The 22,342-nt window shown below is 45.6% G+C and overlaps 1 protein-coding gene across 7 annotated transcripts in view, besides 4 other annotated features; it reads right to left on the bottom strand.

Annotated features, from left to right (window-relative positions):
- CAMK1D (calcium/calmodulin dependent protein kinase ID) overlaps positions 1-22,342 on the bottom strand; it is a 485,999-nt gene that overhangs the window by 425,821 nt on the left and 37,836 nt on the right. The window contains exons 1-3 of one of the 7 annotated variants that reach the window (NM_001351032.2): positions 20,638-20,743; positions 19,726-19,854; positions 6,356-6,623 (exon numbers count right to left, since the gene is read on the bottom strand). The exons of 4 other annotated variants lie outside the window; for them this stretch is intronic. Coding sequence is in view for 1 of the 3 variants with exons in the window: in XM_011519591.4 (XP_011517893.1) it covers positions 20,668-20,720 (53 nt within the window). In the remaining 2 variants the exon portion in view is untranslated. Of the gene's footprint in view, positions 1-6,355; positions 6,624-19,725; positions 20,744-22,342 lie in introns of those variants that run through there. 2 more of the 7 variants (XM_047425537.1, XM_011519591.4) reach the window with 2 other exon arrangements.
- Positions 4,418-4,527: an enhancer, noted in NCBI's record as "active region_3041". NCBI's record gives its function as "activates an Ori minimal core promoter by ATAC-STARR-seq in GM12878 lymphoblastoid cells {active_cell/tissue: GM12878}" and the evidence as "EXISTENCE:reporter gene assay evidence [ECO:0000049][PMID:35858748]".
- Positions 4,658-4,707: a silencer, noted in NCBI's record as "silent region_2145". NCBI's record gives its function as "represses an Ori minimal core promoter by ATAC-STARR-seq in GM12878 lymphoblastoid cells {active_cell/tissue: GM12878}" and the evidence as "EXISTENCE:reporter gene assay evidence [ECO:0000049][PMID:35858748]".
- Positions 20,434-20,934: an enhancer, noted in NCBI's record as "H3K4me1 hESC enhancer chr10:12430790-12431290 (GRCh37/hg19 assembly coordinates)". NCBI's record gives its function as "activates a minimal SCP1, AML or CMV promoter by ChIP-STARR-seq in primed H9 embryonic stem cells {active_cell/tissue: H9 hESC(primed)}" and the evidence as "EXISTENCE:reporter gene assay evidence [ECO:0000049][PMID:30033119]".
- Positions 20,984-21,483: an enhancer, noted in NCBI's record as "H3K4me1 hESC enhancer chr10:12430241-12430740 (GRCh37/hg19 assembly coordinates)". NCBI's record gives its function as "activates a minimal SCP1, AML or CMV promoter by ChIP-STARR-seq in primed H9 embryonic stem cells {active_cell/tissue: H9 hESC(primed)}" and the evidence as "EXISTENCE:reporter gene assay evidence [ECO:0000049][PMID:30033119]".

The raw sequence follows: 22,342 nt of genomic DNA, 5'->3' as shown, positions 1-22,342 counted from the left end.
ATGGCAGACATGGTGTTTTATATATTACCACAATTTAAGGAGAATAATATACCAAAAACACAGAATGGTACTCTTTAAAGAAGTGAACTGTATGATCTCTGAATTTATACATCAATAAAGCTATTTTTAAGAAAATTTTTCAGCCAGGTGTGATGGTGTCAACTTGTAGTCCTAGCTACTCCAGACGCCAAGGCGGAAGAATGGCTTGAGCCCAGGAGTTCAAGAGCAGCCTGGGCCACGTAGCAAGAGCCCGCCACTAAAAAGAAAAAGGAGAGATTTCAAGTAGCACTGGGGGCTTCCTGACCACCCTGTCTAGAACAGCATACACCTGCTTCCCCTCTATCCTCTATCACAGCCGTTATCACAATGTGTAACTTATTCATCTGTAGTCATTTTCAGAGCCCAGAGCCCACTTCCTCTCCCAATCATGAGTGTAGGCGCCAAGTCCACCGTAATAGGGACCATGAGGGGTCTCGGTGCCTGCTCAAACGTGGTGCTGAATACACGATTACAGAACGAGGGGATAAAGTAGGTAAATAAGGAATGGAGAAGGTAAAAAATGGACAAAAACCGGGTGCAGTGGCTCACGCCTGTAATACCAGCACTTTGGGAGGTTGAGGCAGGCAGATCATTTGAGGTCAGGAGTTCAAAACCAGCCTGGCCAACATGGCGAAACTCCGTCTCTACTAAAAGTACAAGTATTAGCCAGGCATGGTGGTGCACGCCTGTAGTCCCAACTACTACTCGGGAGGCTGAGGCAGGAGAATTGCTTGAATCCGGGAGGTGGAGGTTGCAGTGAGCTGAGATCGCGCCACTGCACTCCAGCCTGGGCGACAGAAAGAGACTCCGACTCAGAACAAAAAAAAAAAAAAAAAAGAAAGAAAGAAAGAAATGAACGAAAACCATAAAAGAGGAAAAAGACGCCTATATCACCTGACAAGGAGGCATACAGGGAAATGCCAACACGTGGGCACATCACAGACCACGTACTGTTTGCAGCATCCAAGAGGAGAAAGCGGGCCTTGCACGTTGCTAATCCTGGAGTCAGCAAATTTTCCCACACCTCCGCTGGCCACACCCACCTGAACCTGAACCACCCCCACCACCACCCACACAACGTGCACTGGAAAGAAACAATTCTCAAGGAAAAGACTGGAGATGCACCCACCTTTGGTTCCAATATTTTCATGACTGTGCCTTGCAGAATCATAGTTGTGGTGTCTCAAACACAACATTGAAAATGAAAGAGTCAGGCCAGGTGCGGTGGCTCACGCCTGTAATCCCAGCACTTTGGGAGGCCGAGGCGGGTGGATCACGAGGTCAGGAGATCGAGACCACCCTGGCTAACATGGTGAAAATGGCAAAACCCCATCTCTACTAAAAAAATCCAAAAAAATTAGCCGGGCGAGGTAGCGGGCGCCTGTAGTCCCAACTACTCGGGAGGTTGAGGCAGGAGTATGGCGTGAGCCCGGGAGGCGGAGCTTGCAGTGAGCCGAGATCATGCCACTGCACTCCAGGCTGGGCAACAGACCGAGACTCCATCTCAAAAAAAAAAGAAAATGAAAGAGGCCAGGCGCGGTGGCTTATGCCTGTAATCCCAGCACTCTGGGAGGCCAAGGTGGGTGGATCACGTGAGGTGAGGAGTTTGAGACCAGCCTGGCCAACATGGTAAAACACCGTCTCTACTAAAAATATAAAAATTAGCTGGGCGTGGTGGGACACACCTGTAATCCCAGCTACTCAGGAGGCTGAGGCAGTAGGATCACTTGAACACAGGAGGTGGAGGCTGCAGTGAGCCAAGATTGCACCACTGCACTCCAGCCTGGGTGACAGAGTGAGAGTCTCTCTCAAAAAAAAAAAAAGAAAAAAAAAAAAGAGTCAGCCAATCACACCCTTGAGGAGGAATTTGTTTTCATTTTTCCCAGGATATGTGTTTCCCGGGGGGGAAGTACCTAGAGCTTGAATCATTGTAAAATGCTCAAGCAAATCACCTATTTGGATGATGCTGGTCAACTTGGACCACAGCTGGAAATGGGAAAGTAAATCTCCTCCTAGATTTCATATTCAATCAACCAGCTCAACCAGCTCTTTCTCCATCCTTGGATGAAGACTGTATTGCAGGAGCTGGTTACTCCCTGCCCTCAGGGTCTCAGAGAGGCTTCCAGAAGAAGGGGCTACCATGAAGTAATGGAGGAGGGAGCTGGAGAGAAGGGACCTAGAGTCAGAGAAGACAACACTGTGGCTCAGCAGAGCAGACAGGGATGGGGGAGAAGGCAACCATGGGGGCGTTCCCAGAGACGCTTCAGTGAGAAGGAAACTTCTAGCTTGAGGTAGGGGATGGTGAGGAAAGAAATGTGAAAAGGAAGGCTGGTATGATTTCCTGGAGTTCCCTTCCCCTGGCAGTGGGAGCTTCTGGGTTTTAAGCTGGGGCTGGGTGACAGGATCCCATGGGCAACTGAGTCCAGTCCTCACGGCGGCTCTGCCCGCCCTGCCAGGCCTCCTGCCCTGGGTTCCTCAAGCCTGGACTGAAAGAAGTCATGGAGAGGTCTGGCCATGAACGCAGGGCATGAGAGAGGCTGGAGGGTGGCTGTGCAGGAAGATGGAGATGAGAGGGGCATTTTACAGTATAAGGAGGGTGATAGGCAGCAGGGACAGAGGAAGAGGAGAAGGCAAAATGGAAATTGGCATGGGGGTGGGGTCTGAAGGAGCAGGACTCTTGGAAGTGCAGCAGAGGGAGCCTTCCCTAGAAAGAAAGCAAGTCTGCGGTATCAAGATGTGAAGCAGTGACGTCACCCTAGGTGGCCTCGATCTCCTCTATAAAAGGTCAGAGAAAATGGGGAACAAGTTGTACTGTAAGGGAAAGAGCTAGAATAGCCCACATAAGGACAACTGGAGGCACAGACTTATTACGCAGCAATGGAGGATGCCCAGGGAGATTTGGACGCATGACTTTACAGAGTTCAATACCTTGATTTTTTTTTTTTTTTTTTTTTTTTTTTTTTGAGACAGGGTCTCATTTTGTCACCCAGGCTGGAGTGTAGTGGCGTGATCTTGGCTCACTGCAACCTCCGCCTCCCCGGCTCAACCAATTCTTGTGCCTCAGCCTCCCAAGCAGCTGAGACTACAGACTTGCACCACCATGCCCTGATAATTTTTGTGGAGGGTTTGTTTTTTGTTTTTTGTAGAGACAGGGTCTTCCTATGTTGCCCAGGCTGGTCTCGAACTCCTGAGCTCAAATGATCCACTTCAGCCTCCCAAAGTGCTGGGATTACAGGCATGAGCCACCACATCTGGCCAACAGCTTAATTAAAAAAACAATAACAATAAAAAGCTTTTGCCAGATATTAACTAGTATTTTCTTCTTGTTTTATGGGTTTTTACACTGAACTTTCTAATACCTGGAATTTGTTTTGGTGTTTGGCGCGACATGACGGTCCTGAACCAGGGAGGGAGCTGTTTCCCCAGGGGTATCTGGAAACAAGTCAGAAACAAACTTCCACGGGGTAGGAGTCAGGGAAGCTGAATGTCCGGAGTGCACAGCACAAACCTGAGCAAGGAAAGATCATCTTGGCTGTGGTGCCAATGGAACTGCCACTGAGAAACACAATGAGCTGTTTTCTTCCCAACAAGCCAACCGCTAATCCCAGCACCATTTGATTGATGCACCCATTCAATCCTACACGCGACAAGAAATGCTGAGTGTCTCCTCAAAGCCCAGTCCTCTTCCAAGCAGCACTGGTACAAACAAATCAGATGCTCGCATTTGCCCTTTCTCCCGTCGATTTCAAAACCTTCACATAAAAACGCCATTTAAGTGCTCTGAAATTCATAAACAACTTTAAAGGGCTGGCAAATTATTGCTAAGCAGAAGTCTCGTTGGTCCTGATAAGAAGTACTTGTAATAAATGTTTAACAACGCATGCCAATATTAAAGCTAAGTGTTTGTTCTTGTAAAGCAGATTAAACAATATGACCATGTCATGCTGATATCACGGGTTTGCTCAACAAACTCCTGTCTCATAGATACTGGCTCCAGCCAACTTCGGTCTAACCCTGTTGACTGTCACTTGGCATTCCAAATGTATGAGGGTCTTGATTAATGACGTTTCACTGGTTTCACTTATATAACAAGACAATTTCAGGTGTTAATTGTCCTATCTGTTTATACGTGCTAGACTGTGGCTAATTTTTAAAGACGGGCGCTTAGTAATGTGGGCATTGAGTCAATACACAGAAAGTCTAAGCAAACAGCGGAGTTTTCTCGTTAGTTCACTGCCTGTCTCTGGACTGAACATGGTGCATATTACAGCTGTATCACTGTGTCACCCATAAAGAACATGACTCCGAGGCTCGCTGATGAGTGCAACTGTTTCCTGGGCATTATGTCTGCACTAGAGATGAAATATTACTTTACAAAGTCCCCACATCTCTGACCATGGGCATGGAACTTAAACGCTTTAGGTCTGCAAAATGAGCTGGCTGGGCTGAAGCCAGCTGTGGAAACCCCCAGAAGGAGGTATGGGGAGTGCCTATTTTTAGAATTTCCAAAGACACAACAGAAACTACACATTTACCCACAATACGATGGCTCAGGCTAAACCACATTTGGTTGAATGATGTCAATTCAACATGCAGTGACCAGTCTTACCCCCAGAACAGAAGCCTCTTTGGCAGCTGGGTCTCTCCTTTATCAACAAAAATTTAAAGGAAATTACTTAATGCTCAAAAATACAGTTTTCCAGCCAGGCGCGGTGGCTCATGTCTATAATCCCAGCACTTTGGGAGGCTGAGGCAGGCGGATGGAGGTCAGGAGTTCAAGACCAGCCCGACCAACATGGAGAAACCCCATTTCTACTAAAAATACAAAAATTAGCCAGGTGTGGTGGCGCATGCTTGCAGTCCCAGCTTCTCGTGAGACTGAGGCACGAGAATCACCCACGAGGCAGAGGTTGCAGGGAGCTGAGATCATGCCACTGCACTCCGGTCTGGGTGACAGAGTGAGACTCCATCTCAAAAAAAAAAAAAATTTTTAAAAACACAGTTTTCTTGGTCATTACGGATTAAAATCTAAGGTCCCTTACGTTCTAAAACTCTATCATTCTAACTTTCAAAGGAAGTTATTCATACCAAGAATAACTCAATCTCAGCATCACCCTGTACAATACATAATGAACAGTAACAAACAGCTTTCTCTCCTAGCTTTCCTACACTTGTTTAAATCTTTGCAACTAATTAAGGTGTACCTATTTATAAGGCATACCATATTTCCAAAAAGAATTAGACACAACTGTATATTCTCTGAAGATACTAAGAAAAGGTCTGGATTTGCCCAGTTAGGAGTTTCTTCCTCAATTTCTTGCTTTTAGAAAAGCTCAAATAAGGCCGGGCGCAGGGGCTCACGCCTGTAATCCCAGCACTCTGGGAGGCCAAGGTGGGCGGATCACCTGAAGTCAGGAGTTCGAGACCAGCCCAACCAATATGGAGAAACCCTACCTCTACTAAAAATACAAAATTAGCTGGGCGCGGTGGCGGACACCTGTAATCCCAACTACTGGGAAGGCTGAGACAGGAGAATCACTTGAACCTGGGAGGCGGAGGTTGCGGTGAGGTGAGATCACACCATTGCACTCCAGCTGGGGCAACAAGAGCGAAACTCAGTCTCAAAAAAAAAAAGAAAAAGAAAAGCTCAAAAAACTACATGCCCATTTTTGTCTCTTTTATCTTTTTTCTTTTTTTTTTTTCCAAAAGCAACAGGAAAGTTTTCAATTGGCCCCAGTACTACCACCTGCCACAAGATATCAAGAACTGGGAAACCAGGGACCTGCTCTGTGACATGGATGAGTCTCACGTCTGCAATGGTAACATCAGGGCCAAAACAACCACCCTACTTCAAGGCCTATTATGGAAGAACAGTTGAGATGCTGATGGGGGAAAAAACACACTTAGAAGTTCAATGCATTATACAATATAGTTGTTACAATACAAATTATTATTAATAAAATTATTTTAAAGTATACTGAATTTTTTGCAAATCAAATATTTTTAAATGCATTAACAGGGAGGTTTCTATCCCCATTCTCTGCAGGAATTCTATGGTGCACGCCTTCATAAATGAAAAATAAATCACCTAAAAAACCAATTCTGCATCCCAGATTTACATTCAATAGTAAATTTTGAGTCTTTATAGAATAGCTGTTCATGTAAATACTTCAAGAGACAATTTTTTGAGTGCCCACTCTTCTGGAAACTGAGCTAAGAAACATCATCAATCATCTCACTGAATCCTCACAAGTAAAGTGGGATCGATTATCACCTTTATCCAAGAAAGACAGGTGGGCACGGAGCGAGGACTCACCCAAGGTCCCACACCCATGAAGGGGTGAACAACGTCCACCTGAAACCAGAACCGGTGTTCTAAGCCATTCTGCAGTTCTGCAGGGCAGATGTCCATGTGAACACAAGCTGGCAAGCGGATGCCAACTTGTTGTAAATCACTTTCAAACACCAGCTCACAACTTTTCACTGCATCTGGCTTCACGTGTCCAACGTGGTCCTCAGATCGCATCATTAGGGCTTCTGCCTTCTTCCTGAGTACTTCCACACATTTGCTGCTTGTTCCTTTTCTGCTAACAAACAGATCAACATAAATTGCTTAAGTAGACAATGCAGGCAAAACAAGAAAGCAAAACCGAAGGGAAAAAGGAAAAAAAAAAGCCTGCTTGCAGGTTATAATCCTGGAGCCGTATTTCTGCCAGAATGATGTATCTTATTCTAGCCCTGGAGAGCTCCAGGCTGAGGTCTCTCCAATCCACGCAATTCTGCGCATCTGGAACTCATCACCTTTTGCCCACATAAACCTGGTCCTGTGTATATCCTCAGTAGAAGGCACCAATCACCAATTACCCAAGCAGGAGACCTGTTAGCCCTTCACTTCCAACTGATGCTCCTAAATCCAAAATGATCCCAATGAAGTGACTGCCTCAGGGATCCTTTTGTCTATCCTGCCCCTCCAACCCCACTGCTGATTTGGGGCACTAACCTCTCCCTGACTCCCCTGTTCCAGGACTCCACGAGCAATTTAACTGGAATCCCTAACGCCAGTCTTAAGACTTTTTAACGACAGCTCCAAAGTGGTCTTTCAAACACACAAAAAAGCTAATCATGTTTCTGTTTAATTTCCTCACTGACAGGATAAAAACCAAATGACTAAGTGTGGCATAAAAAGTCCCACTTGGGAGGCCGAGGCAGGCGGGTCACTTGAGAGCAGGAGTTTGAGACTAGCCCGAGTAACATGGCAAAACCCTGTCTCTACAAAAAACAAAAATTAGCTGGGCATGGTGGTGCCCGCCTGTGGTCCCAGCTACCCAGTAGGCTGAGGTGGGAGGATCAATTGAGCCTGGGAGGTAGAGACTGAAGTGAGCTGTGATCACATCACTGCACTCCAGCCTGAGCAACAGATTGAAATGCTGTCTCAAAAAATGGCAGTCAGGCGCGGTGGCTCGTGCCTGTAATCCCAGCACTTTGGGAAGCCGAGGCACGCAGATCACTTGAGGTCAGGAGTTCGAGACCAGCCTGGCCAACATGGCAAAACCCTGTCTCTATTAAAAACACAAGGCGACAGAGCGAGACTCCATCTCAAAAAAATATATATATATACAAAAATTAGCTGGGCATGGTTGCACCCACCTGTAATTCCAGCTACTAGGGAGGCTGAGGCATGAGAATAGCTTGAACCCGGCAGGCGGAGGTTGCAATGAGCGGAGATCGCGCCACTGTACTCCAGCCTGGGTGACAGAGCAAGATTCTGTCCATATATATATATATATATAGTCTGAGAATATATATATTCCCGGACAACCAAAGCCTCTTTTCAGCTTTCTCTCTCACTACTCCCCTATACATGCCTGAATGCCAAAACAGACCGTCTTCTCATTCATCCATCCTCTGTGTCTCAGGACCAAAGCTGGTCTACCAGCTTGGAAGCCCTCTCTCTCTTGCTCACCTGGTAAACTCCTACCCATCCCTCAAGCCACAGGCCCAGCTCACCTCCTCTGTGAAGCCTTCCCTGAGTCTCCCAGACAAACTGAGGCACCCTGACGGCCCCCTTCTGAGGCTCCTTGTGGGAGCCTCCCTATCTGCCAGCCCCTCCACACTGTTGTACAGATCCTTCTCCCTAGGGAATGTGCTCCCTGACCCCAGGGCTCAGCACTGGCTGTTTTTGTGCCCCCAGCACCTAACACAGGCCCAAGAACAAAGTAGAGGCTCAGACTGATTAAGTAGCTATTAGGAGAGACAACATACATGGGAAGGAAAAGTAACTGGTGGTTTTATAATTTCTTTGGGGAGGTATATCAGGCCTGGAATCTGATTTGAGCTTTATATATATTATATATATATAAAATATATACATAATATATATAATACATATATTATATATATATAAAATATATACATAATATATATAATACATATATTATATATATATAAAATATATATATAATATATATAATACATATATTATATATATATAAAATATATATATAATATATATAATACATATATTATATATATATAAAATATATATATAATATATATAATACATATATTATATATATAAAATATATATATAATATATATAATACATATATTATATATATAAAATATATATATAATATATATAATACATATATTTATATATTATAAAACAATCTATAAAGGAGAAAGGTAAAGACAGAAAAGGCATTCCTTTTTTGTTTGTTTTTCTGGTTTTGTAGAGACAGGGGCCTCGCTATATTGCACAGGTTGGTCTTGAGCTCCTGGGCTCAAGCAATCTGCCCACCTCGGCCTCCCAAAGTTCTGGGTTTACAGGTGCGAGCCACTGTGCCTGGCCCAGGAAAGGTACTGCTAGACCAGAGGTCTGTCCTGAAGGATGAGAGGAATTAAACCAGAAGAACGCATTTCCTGGAGGCCTACGTCACACTCTGGTACAGTTGTAAGTCTCCATCTGTGAAAACATAAAGCCCTCAAGTGGGGATTCCAGAGAAATCAGGTCACATCTCAAAATACACTCAGTCCCTCAGAAGATAAAGTTCTCAACATCAAGACAATTACATTTTATATACTATTTAGTAGGGATTAAAATTTGTAGAGCTAGCGGCTATTAAGAAAAAAGTTTAAGCTACGTGAAATCAGAGAATAAATCACGGTTCTGAATGTAAATTGGGAGTCTTGGGCAGCTTCCAAACTCTGCACTCCTCTTCTGAGGTCTTTTATCTTCCGGTGATATAAGCTATAGTCAAATAATAAAAGAGTCACTGAGATGCTCTTCTCCTTACTCAGCACTTCGCTTGACTGCTCAGACTTTAGGTACGCAGCAAGAAGTGAGCTCACAGTGAAGTTTAAACGGCAAAGGCACTTCCCATCATTAGAAATCCTCCTTTGGATGCACTCAGAAGACTTTCCAATGGTTGCCACTCTGTTAGGGGACTGCTTCCAAAGACTGTCTTGTAAAAATTAAATGCTTGCCACTCCCTTGAAATTCCGAGTTAAAAACCTACCTACCTAGACATTATCCTGAAATTATTTCTTAAATTCCTAAAGTCGTAACATCCAGGCGCAAATGACATCCCATCGCGTCACATCATCTGCAGTAGTTATGTTTTCAGAAGTTGCCGTGAATGCCGTATTAGCCAATACTGAACCATTGCTCCTAGGGGAGAAACAGGACTAGGTTCCTACAGGCCTCTCTAGTCACATCATCTCACCAATATAGAACTTTGCTTTATGTGTGTTTCTGTTTAAAGACATGTCATTTAACACATATTGTTGATTCATTAATATTGAACTCACAGCCATCAGCACCACAACTCATGCTTGAAGAAACTAACATTACAAATTTTCTCTGCAAGGTACCTTACAGCCTTTCCACACTTAGGAACACTAGACACTTCTGAACTATGCTTGGGGCTACTTTAAGCAGCAAAATCACCAACAAAAATGCAAATACATTTTAGTGAATAGGTGAATTTGCAAATACAGAATCCACAAAAACTGTGGAAGCACTATAGTTTGTTTTACTCTTATGACATTACTGGCATATAGTGCAAACCCCTTCATTAGGTGTCATAGTAGGGGTGTCCCAACAGATCTAAGCCATGGTGTGGCTCCTATCCTTAGGAACCCTGCAGTCCAGCAATGACCCTCAACTTCTTTTTTTTTTTTCAGACGGAGTCTTGCTCTGTCACCCAGGCAAGAGTGCAGTGGTGCGATCTCAGCTCACTGCAACCTCCACCTCCCAAGTTCAAGTGATTCTCCTGCCTCAGCCTCCCAAGTAGCTGGGATTACAGGCGCCTGCCACCACACCCAGCTAATTTTTGTATTTTTAGTAGAGACAGGGTTTCACCATGTTGGCCAGGCTGGTCCAAACTCCTGACCTCAGGTGATCCACTGCCTCGGCCTCCCAAAGTGCTGGATTACAGGTGTGAGCCACCACGCCCAGCCGGCCCTCAACTTTTATCTTCCTGGATATACTTGGGGACTACCTCCCACTCCCTCACACCAGTAAGCCTCAAGGAGACCATGGTTTGAGAGCACTCCCATACCACCTTCACCCACCTCTATGCATATTTCAATACCATTCCCAGTAGGGCATGCTCCTTCCACTCAAGAGAGACCTGCTAGAAAGGAAAAGGCTAACAGCAGCAACTGTGATGCAGGCAGAATAAATAATGTGACACAGAAATCGGCAAGAGTCCAAAGAACTCACTGAGGGACTGCTATGAAAAACTCCTATCCCATCTACTCAGTTACATCTGGTTTCTTTGTACTAACATCTATAAAAACACAAAAATAGGAAAAGGACTAATTCTGACCTCCTTATCCCAGCAATGAGTAATCTTCATCCATATCAAACAACTGAAAGAAAAAAAAAAGACCCCAAAAACTCTATGGATTTTTATTAGGAGATATATTTCCAAATAAATTCTATATTCTCCTTTTATTTATCAAAATTTATAATATCTTTGTTTTGTTCAAATGTAGAATCATCATCACAATAACTAAATACAACAACTTTTGGGCTGGGCACGGTGGCTCATGCCCGTAATCCTAGCACTTTGGGAGGCCGAGGCGGGCGGATCACCTGAGGTCAGGAGTTCAAGACCAGCCTGGCCAACATGGTGAAACCCCGTCTCTTCTAAAAATATAAAAATTAGCCAGGCATAGTGGCAGGCACCTGTAATCCCAGCTACTCAGGAGTCTGAGGCAGGAGAATCACTCGAACTCCGGAGGCAGCGGTTGCAGTGAGCTGAGACCGCACCACTGCACTCCAGCCTGGGCAACAAGAGTGAAACTCCATCTCTAAAAATAAAGAAATAAATACAAGAAGCTTTGAAAATATGTAGGCCCTCTAGCCACAGGAAACTTAATTTAAATGTATATACATATTTTTGGCAAGAACAAATATAATATCCTAGGATAAAATTCTATGAGAATAGAATATGACTCTAAAGAAAAAAAAAGAATGAGGTAGAAATTCCAGTGGTTAAAGATGAGCTTCTTTTTAAATGGATGACAGTGGGTATCAAATCTCTGTGGTATTTAGCTCCACTGGTTACACTTAAAATAATGATGTAACTGTTTTATTTCAAGATGCCAATATTTACAATACTCTGGAAATAACATCCTTTGCCTCTCTCAAGTTACGATGAAAAATTTTGGCTATCAACTCAAAGTGTGGGAGGGGGTAGACGGCTTTACAAAATTATTTTAGAAATCAGGTGAATAAAAAGCCGAGTTGGGCCCCTCGAAAAGAAGCTCACCCCTCAGTTCCAGCCTAGGCCAGGTCTTTACATTTTTCAAGAGAAGCTGGAAATCTGGATTTTCAATGTACAGTTTACCTGCGATTTTTTCTGGTATGTTGATTCAAAAACTTTTCAACAGCATGCAAGCCAAACTAAACACATCTTTAGGCCAACATTTTTCCTACTACCTTGGCTCTAAGCAACACTCACCCTCTTCAGTCAATTTTTCTGTGCACTTCAAGGAGGTTCACTCATTCAAGAGACCATCACTGAGCGCTTCCTGGTGTACCAGGCACTCACCTAGGCCCCAGGGTCACAGGGATGGCTGAAATACTAGCCCTCCCCTCAAGGACGGCACAGCGGAAGAGGAAACTGACAGGTAACCAACATTTTCAATGCAGTCTGTTCAATTCAGGGCTAGAGTTAGGACTGGGGAGAGTGGCCTACAGGACCTCCGCTTGGGTAGGTCAAGAATAAATGGTTTTATCTGCAAAGCCGTGTGGGGGAAGAGAAGCCAGGACTGGAAGAAAAAAGGTGTGACTCCATGTTAGTGACTCAGCAGGGCTACCTTAGAAGGCTCCAAGGGTCAAGGACACACAAAGCAGACGGAACCAAAGGTCATGGCCATCCTAGGGCGCTTGAAAGAACAGAACACCTGCAGGAGACAAAAACCAGCCCCGCTCATTTTCAGCTCTTATGTTAAAAACAGGCACATGATGGAAATAAACCATTGAGACGAGATCCAAAAATAATCTTAACTGGGCACCAAAGCTCATAGAAAAATCCTTATTTTAATCACTTCTGTAAGGCAGCTGAAAGGTACAGACACCAAACTCAGCTTGGGAAGCAATCAACTTAATCTGCTTCTTTGAAAGATTAATTAAAATGGAGATTACCAATGGCTGCGGAGGAGCTGGGTCAGCCGACAGGGCCCAGTCGAGATGAGCGATAAATTGTTTTAAAATCACACAAACACAGCTGTGGGCCAAACACAGAGATGGTGCATAAAATCAGCGTCTTCCTGGGCCCCTCATTCAGCTCCTTACGACTGAGTTAAAAACCCAAACCTCAGGAAGAGCAGAAGGTAGGGCTCTGACACACCAGGCAAGGAGCCTGCCCAGTGGACGTGGACATGGCCACGGGGAGCCTACGTGGCTGGAAGTGCTAAGCTGAACCAGCAACAGCTGCTGCGGGGAGAAGGGCAGAGGCACAGCCTGCAGGAGCTGCCAACACACTTGATCTTAACTCAAAGAAGATTGTAAGTGCTTGTTTAAGCCAATTTCAAGGATCTGCTCAGCTGAAGCCTAGACAGAAAGTTGAGATAGCAAAGCAACAGAAAAGAGATCAAATACCTTCTACATAGCCCTTACATCACAGAGGGCCTGGAAGAAGTGTTCTCCAGTGGAGGGCTACTTTTCCCCCACAGCATATGGCAAAAAGGGGGTTAAGCCAGAGACTCATGAAGACTCTGGTTGGAGGGCCCAGAATGAACCCATTATCCCTGGGCATAAGCCCTGAGAGGGAGAAAACCCCAACAGCAGTCACGAGAAAAATGACGATTTTGGCAACCGTTCCCCAAGTTCTTACCTCCCCAAGAGGAACAGTGGACAATGATGCGGACACAATAGTAAAGAAGACAGGACACCAGCAGCGCCCAGCAGGAGAGGGGCTGACCTTCCAAATTCACTGCTGCTCCGAGTTAAGGAGCCCTGGACCGGGGGCTACTGAACACTTAAAAAACAACTCTTTTGACCAGGCACAGTGGCTCACGCCTGTAAGCCCAGCACTTTGGGAGGCCGAGGTGGGTGATTCACCTGAGGTCAGGAGTTGGAGGCCAGCCTGGCCAACATGATGAAACCCTGTCTCTACTAAAAATACAAAAATTAGCCAGGTGTGGTGGCGGGCACCTGTAATCCCAGCTACTCGGGAGGCTGAGGCAGGAGAATCGCTTGAACCCAGGAGGCAGAGGTTAACAACCCTTTTGTTTTTTGTTTCTTGAGACGGAGTCTCACTCTGTTGCCCAGGCTGGAGTGCAGTGGTGCAATCACGGCCCACAGCAACCTCCGCCTCCTGGGTTCATGCAATTCTCCTGCCTCAGCCTCCTAAGTAGCTGGAACTACCGGCACGCACCACCATGCCCGGCTAATTTTTGTATTTTTCATAGAGATGGCTAATTTTTGTATTTTTCACCATGTTGGCTAGGCTGGTCTCGAACTCCTGACCTCAAGTAATTCACCAACCTCGGCCTCCCAGAATGCTGGGATTACAGGCGTGACCCACTTCGCCTGGCCGAAAAACCAACCCTTCTACAGTAAGTTTTCCCCAGAAGCTAACAGAACATTCCTCACTTACATTAGGTGTCAGAAGCCCTGAATTCCAGCCTGATCCTGGTGGCCCTTTATGATACTGAAAAATATTTATTTTGTCTTAAAGTTTCCTGGCATACAACAATCCTTGGAACCTCCACAGTGATGTCTTTTGTGGGCTAATGAGGTGACTGGTGGCTGAGATTCCCTAGGTGGCTTCAGGATGGGAGCTAGGCACTTCAAAAACCAAGGCAGGATTAGAGGGTTGGGAATTTCAGCCCCATTCCCAAACCTCTGCGGAGGCGGGGGCTGCAGGTCAAGGGGATCACTTGAGGCCAAGGGTTTGGGACCCCCTGGTCTCTACAAAAAAAAATTAATTAAAAAAAATTACTTGGGCGTAGTGGTATGCACCTAGCTACCTGGGAGACTGAGGTGGGAGGACTGCTTGAACCCAGGAGTTGGAGGCTGCAGTTAGCTATGATCGCACCACTGCACTCCAGCCTGGGCAATAGAGTGAGACCCTGTCTCTGCAAAAAAAAAAAAAAAAAAAAATTAAAATTTTAAAAAAATAAAATAAGTGTAACTGTTTACCCTCAGTAAGCAGCTACAAAGTGCACCCCAAGTTGGAGGCACACCATGCTGAGATGGGTGAGCTCACCTGGGCCAGCACCATGTCCCAGCCCTGCCCTCCAAGGCCTCCTGCACGCAGCCTCTTTCCTGCCTGCCACCACACTGGTCCAGGTCCAGATCACAGCCCTGCTACAGGCTCTGAGGTCATTTTCCAAGGCTCAGTTCTGCTCATGTTTCCACATCCTGGATGTGTCACGAGCTAACACTATAAACACTTTAGCCTAGAACTCAAAACCCATCATGATCTGACCTTTACCCCCCTTTCTAACCTGGTTTCCCACTGGTTCCTTCATGCCCAGCTTGCTAATCTCCTCCCACCCTTGATGTCAACGCTACCACCTCCCAGGTGTGGCAGGGTAAGAAATCTATCTTTGGTGTCTGCCTGTGGCTCCTAGCACAGACCTCCGAAAGCCCTTGGAATTTGGAGTGATGGGGTGAAAGGAACATCTCTTGTTATTCATCATAAGCCCCTTTCAAGCATACCTAAGTTTATGCCAATGCGGTGACTCTTGGAAAAGGGGGGCTGGTTACCAGGGGAACCAACCAGGTGATGAGAGAGGGTTGGAATTTGCCAGTCCAGAAAGGGGAGAGGCACTGGAGGTTGAGTCAGTCACCAATGACCAGTGATTTACATCAATCATGGAATCTCCATAAAAACCCTAATTGGAGAGGTCTGGGGAGTTTCTGGTTGGTGAACACCTGGATATGAGGGAGGTGGGGCACCCGGAGAGGACGGCACGCTCCCCTGCTACCTCACCCCACCCTACACCTCGCCCCATGCAACTCTTCTATTTGGCTGTTCCTGAGTTGTATTTGTCATAATACAACTGTAAACATAAGTGTCTCCCTAGATTCTGTGAGCCATTATCGCAAACGATCAAACGTGTGTTGGGATGGTGTGAACCCTCAAAGGATGGCCAGTCGGCCAAAAGCACGAGCCGCAACCTAGGACTTGTGACTGGCGTCTGAAGCGGAGGGGGTGTCGGGAGCGGTCTTGTGGAACTGCCCTCAACCTGGGGGGTCTGCAATACCTGCACATAGTCAGTGTCACAGGTGAATTCTAGGACACACAGGTGTCCAAGAACTGGAGAACTGCTTAATGAGAAGGAAAAACCCACACACGTGTGAGGTGTGGAGCGTAAGCTGCCATTTTCCTTCACCTCCCGCCCTTGATGTCAACACTGTCATCTTCAGGGTAGTGTTCTGGCCGGCATGTCTGCTCAGCCACCGTCCCCACCTTCAGAGCAGGACACTTCCCCATGCCTCAAGTTTGGACACATGCTCACGCGTCCATCATGTCTTCCCCCAGGTGGGCTGGGTGTCTCCATCTCTAAACTCACACAGCATTGATTTGGTCTCTGCTTACAGGATACAGGGAGTGTCTCCCAAAGCTGGGCCTGAAGCTCAACTCAGCCACTTAATTCGCTGAATGTCCCTGGGTGAGAAAATTAAAATGTCTGACCCCATCTCACTGAGGTCAGGAGGACAGATGGTGGTAACACACATCTAAAACGCTTGCCGTGTTTTCCATTCTTTTCACCCATAACACTATGAGTTCCTTGAGTGAAATGTTTTTGCCTCTCTCAGAGAGCCTAGCACCATGAGTTGCATTCAGTAGGAGCTAAAAGAAAATGTATTCCTTAAAAAAGGAAGAAAAGGCCAGGCGCAGTGTCTCACGCCTGTAATCTCAGCACTTTGGGAGGCCGAGGCGTGCGGATCACAAGGTCAGGAGATCGAGACCATCCTGACTAACATGGTGAAACCCCATCTCTACTTAAAATACAAAAAATTAGCCAGGCATGGTGGTGGGCGCCTGTAGTCCCAGCTACTTGGGAGGCTGAGGCAGGAGAATGGCGTGAACCCGGGAGGCGGAGCTTGGAGTGAGCAGAGATTGCACCACTGCACTCCAGCCTGGGCAACAGAGCAAAACTGTGTCTCAAAAAAGAAAAAAAAAAAAAAAGTTATGTTTCAGATCCATTCATGACAGTCGATGAGCAGTCAGTTGTAGCTAAGAACCTGGTCCAGATCAGGGTATGTGTGTGTGTGTTGTGTGTGTGTATACTTTCAAAACTAGGAAAATTTGGAAGAAAAATTGAGGCTTACTATGTTTAAACTCATCAAAATTTCTAATGAAGTTGTTTTTTCACTAGAATGTAATATGGTGGTTACCTGGGCCTGGGGGTCAGGGGGTTGGGGAGACTTTTGTCAAAGGATACAAAATTTCAGCTGGGAGGAAAAAGTTCGAGAGATCTATTGTACAACATAGTGACTATGCTCAATAACAATGTATATGCTCTCAAAAATTGCTAAGACAGTAGATTTTAAGCATTCTCACTACAAAACAAGTATGTTAAGTAATACATATATTAACTAGATCAATTTAGTCATTCCACAGTGTATACGTATTTCCAAATAACATATGGTACATGATAATAAATAAAAAGGAAGAAAATTCTGACAAATGCTATAATGTAGATGAACCATAAGGAAATTATGCTGAGTAGAATAAGGTAATCTCAACAGGCTAAGTACTGTATGATGCTACTTATGGGAAGTCCTTAGAGTAGATAAATTCAGGAACAAAGTAGAATGGTAGGTGTCAGGGGCTGGGGGGAGAGGGAAGGAGGAGTTGTGGGGGTTTTGTTATGTTTTTTGTTTTTGATTTTTGATTTTGTTTTGTTTTTTTGAGACAGAGTCTTGCTGTATCACCCAGGCTGGAGTGCAATGGCACCATCTCGGCTCACTGCAGCCTCCACCTCCTGGGTTCCAGTGATTCTCCTGCCTCAGCCTCCCGAGTAGCTGGGATTAAAGGTGCACACCACTGCACCCGGCTAATTTTGTATGTTTAGTAGAAACGGAGTTTCACCATGTTGGTCAGGCTGGTCTCGAACTCCTGACCACAGGTGATCCACCACCTTGGCCTCCCAAAGTGCTAGGATTATAGGTGTGAGCCACCATACCCAGACTGTTTGTGTGTGTGTGTGTGTGTGTGTGTGTGTGTGTGTGTGTGTTTTAAGACAAGTCTCGCTCTGCTATCCAGGCTGGAGTGCAGTGGTGCAATTACCATTTATCTGATTTTCAAATCATTTCACCATTTTCAGTTATATGAGCTGTTAATGACAGTAACTATCCCATAAATTTAGTATAGATACCCCAGATTGTTCTGAGGGAGAAACTCTATTTTGAGTCCTGGATGATTCGGTTCTAGTCTTCCTAATTTCCTTATGCTTGCCATTACAGTGCACTGTATATGGCACTGTGAGGAAGATAGAATTCTTATTCTCAAATTCACCTGCTGGTACTGTAAGGACATTTTAACAGACCTCCTAAATTTAACCGACTAGGGTGTTTTGTTTTTCTTTAAGAAACATTTGAAAATCATCCTCCCGAAAGGGAATATTTTATTCATGCCAGTTTAAGTAGTGACAGGAAAATATTCAGTACTTAAAATGGAATTTTTTTTAAAAAAAACGGTCAGCATGAATTTCCACAGGCATCTGGAAAATTGGCAAAAGAATTAAGAATGTGAAAAGCAACCGGTGATCCCAGCTGGGGTGAAACTGCCTTCCTGTGGAAACCCTGAATAGAAGATAAGCTTCTAAGATTGATTGCTTGATGTATTTTCTTCACGTGTCATACCGACCTAAGACTGCTTTAGGAATTCCCACAGACAATCCCCTGGAAAGTTAATTTACATAGTGATTCCAATTTAATCAGAGAAAAAAAAGCGCACACCTACAGCTTGTTCCCAGGGCCCCACACGAGCTTGAAGTTAAAGTATTTTATTTTGTATTGAGAATAACAAGAATCCAGGCAAAGATCTTAAAAGTTCAATCTTTCCCCTCTACCCTTCATGGCCAAAAGACTGAGATACCAACGTATCATGGCCTGAGAAAGGGTTTTCCTCATTCACGAGAGAAGACAGTGTTGGCCCAACACTGAGCTCTGGAGTTTTTGCCAGAACTGAGCTTGGACCCCTTCCCACCTCCTACTCACTCAATGCTGGACTCTGAGCACATTAGTTGACCCCACACAGAATCTCATCAAGTTGATTCATAAAGTCAGGACTATGCACAGCATCCTCTTATTCACGCACGCTTGAGCCTGAGTTCATTCTGAATCTAGTGGGCCAGAAGGATGGCTCCGTGGGGACAGCTGGACCCGTATTCCAGGCTTGGATAGGTGACTCGCTCACTAGCTGTGTGATCTCAGGCAAGTCCCTCAACCCTTCTGGGCTCCCCTTTCCTCTTGGGTCCTTTACACGTTCGACTAGAAGCTTCTGCTCCCACGTGACATGACCCAAGGGGGAACACACAGACTGGAAACAGGCAGGCTGCACAAGTCCCGGAGCTCATGGTTAGCCCTGGCCCTGCACTCTTACCTGGGTTTTGCCTGGGCACAATGGACCCTATTCTACCCTCAACTAGTTGTAGGATCTTGAATAATGGGGCTTAACTTTCTGTGCCTGATGATAAAGACAGTTTAGAGACAGACGCAGAGACAGATATAGTGACAGAGATAAAGACAGAGACAGAGCTAGAGATACAATGTCTCTTCTAGCTCTAGAATTCTACTTATATGAGAAATTCCTTCCATTCTGAATAAAACAGAAACTAAGGTTGAGCAAAGTGGCTCGTTCCTATAATCCCAGCAATTAGGAAGCTGAGACAGGAGGATCACTTGAGGCCAGGAGTTTGAGACCAGTCTAGGCAATGGAGCAAGACCCCATCTTTTTTTTTAATTTTTAAAAAATAGAGACAACTACTTTATAGTTCTTCGGCCACTGGTGCAAATCACTAGCAAATGCAGTATGAAAATTTTGCATCAGCCTAGAATAAGGACACCGTGCAGTACAAGCGCTTTATAAAAGGTAAAAATATGGGAGACACAGGACTATTCATTCCTCCAGAACAGTTTATTGGTCATGCACATGTCCTCAAATTAAATTCCCCCCAAGATCACCAGCCACCTCCAAAAGTTAAACTCACCTTGCCCCATGGGGCAGGACCTCCCATGCACAGCACAAAGATGACCCACAGGAAAAATAGCCTTCTCTTTGAGGCTCAAGGAGATGTTCTACTACAAGTGCCTATGATGAATTCATCCCTTCCACTGACCTAAATGCAGACAGAAGGCATCAAAAAAAAAAAATCAAATGACAATCCAAAGCCACAGATTTTGTGACCATTTTGCTCTCAATCCTATTCCCCAAAAAGGAAGCACCTTCAGACAGTAGGTGACAAGGACACTGTGTCCAGAGAGGGCGTTTTCATCTAACTACAACTTTCAAACTCACGGCCATTAACATTCACCCAAAATAACTGGACGGTCGCCAACCAGGAAAGGGCACGTTACTAAAACCGGCCCTCCAGCCTCCGAGAGGCTCAGCAGAATTCTGCTTGCTGTGAGTAGGGAAGGAAGCAAGGTCTGTTTATTCTGCCAACGTGCAGAGAGGCACAGTAACTAGGTCACGTTCTCACTCAGGCCTGGATGAAACCACCTGGATGCTCCAAGCCCTCGACCCTGTGGTGCTGGGCAGAAGCTGAGTCTCCTGCACTGAGCACCTCTCCTTGAAGCCTGAAGACACCTCTGGCCACGCACCCCAAGGAGAGCAGTGTCGGGATGGTCCCAGAATCCTTGATGTCCCAAAGAGCCTGTCCCAAGAGCAATGGGCAGAACATGAGCCTTGGTCTAGGCACAGACCCGGGGCTGGCACGCGCCACCGCCAACCACCTGCCACCCAAGCCCCTCAGCCCCCTCTGCAGGGAGTTTAAGCAGTAACTGACCACACACACCCCCACGCCACCCTAGCATAGAGAACACTTAAATCTGGAGCTGGTGGAATCACCAGAAACCCAAATAATTAGCCTCTCTCTAAGCAGAAGCTGATGGAAGCTCACAGTTGACCCATCTCGCCTCTTCCTCCAGACCTTGGACAGATCGGACAGGAAGGACCTTCCATGGAGTATGGTGGTGTCTCCATCAGCTGCGGGATGTAAATCACACAGACGACACGACAATGTGCTTCCCAAGTGAAATCGCAAGCCACGCCTTTACCGCAGGCTCATCAAGTGTTTTCCTCCAACGACAGGCTTTCTAGAACAGCACGACGTGCCTCCAGGGGAGCGTGGTAACAAAATCACATTCGTGCTGCATCTCACGACTTCCTAAGCGGTGGGATGGTTTTCCCTTCACAGCAGACAAACCTCGCATTGCCACACAGTATCTGAAAAACTGCTGGAGCCTCTAGCCCCAGGTAATGACGGAGCTGTCTTTGAGCCCCGCAGAAGTCTCCCAAGTAGGCATTTTTAACAATTTATTAATTTGAAACGCATGTCAGGTGCGATGTGTTTTTGCTCTTGCCTTTTAACCTCTGCAATTAGCAGACAGGTATGTTTTCTTGTGCCTCTTAACAGCCCCCAACAGAGAAGACAAAACACTCAGACTGCCAAAAACATTTCCTGGGCCAAGAAGGCACACCAGCGTAGATGAAGGCTTTTTTCTCTGCTGTAAACCAGTTTTTGCCTCTGCTCTAAACCTCGACACTCTTATTGACAGACAGAGAATCTAGAAGCTGGAGTCTGGGGGAAAAGCTGAAAGCAAGAAAACTGGTTAAGTTTCAAGGTTGATTCGGGGAGAATTCGACAGTAACAAGGGCTTGGGCCGGGCACGGTGGCTCACACGTGTAATCTCAGCACTTTGGGAGGTCAAGGCCAGCGGATCACCTGAGGTCAGGAGTTCGAGATCAGCCTGGCCAACATGACAAAACCCCATCTCTACTAAAAACGCAAAAATTAGCCAGGTGCGGCGGCACACACACGCCTGTACTTCCAGCTACTTGGGAGGCTGAGCCAGGGTCTTCTTTGGTGAGCGCATTTCTGGAGACGATCCCAGAAGCCTCCTGAGAGTCACCTCAACCTACTCAAAGAACAAGCAAAGATGCCTGGCTGGCAAGATGCCTACAGAAAGGGAGGTTCCCAGGGGAGAAAAGAGCTGAGGCTTCTTCCCTCCCACAGTGGGCTCCATCTGCTCACTCACTCATGACAGCAACTAAGCATTGGTGGGGCGCCAGCAGGGGCGAAAGGGAAATTTTTGAGCCCAGTCTTTCACAATGAATAAAATAGTTCAGAACTTACATCCCGATAGAGGATAGTTAGCATTTATTGAGCAATTATTATGACATAAAGATACACACACAGGCCAGGTACGGTAGCGCATGCCTGTAATGCTAGCATTTTAGGAGGCTGGGGTGGGCGGATCGCTTGAGCACAGGAGTTTGAGACCAAGCTGAGCAACATAGCGAGAACCCATCTCTACCAAACAAAATACAAAAATTAGCCAGGGTTCCAGCTACTCAGGAGGCTGAAGTGGGAGGGTCACTTGAGCCTTGTGGGTGGAAGTTGCAGTGAGCCGAGATTGCACCACTGCACTCCAGCCTGGGCCACGGAGCCAGACCCTGTCTCAAAAAAAAAAAGCAACCGAGATACACATAATATAACTTTCATTAAGAGTTTACAATGTCTATATATATATATATATATAAAATATATATAATATATAAAATATATAAAATATATATAATATATAAAAATATATAATATATAT

Source organism: Homo sapiens, chromosome 10, assembly GCF_000001405.40.
Source record: "Homo sapiens chromosome 10, GRCh38.p14 Primary Assembly".
Classification (NCBI taxonomy): Eukaryota; Metazoa; Chordata; class Mammalia; order Primates; family Hominidae; genus Homo; species Homo sapiens.
The sequence above is the reverse complement of the archived record's forward strand: the minus strand, read 5'-3'. Positions and strand labels throughout refer to the sequence as shown.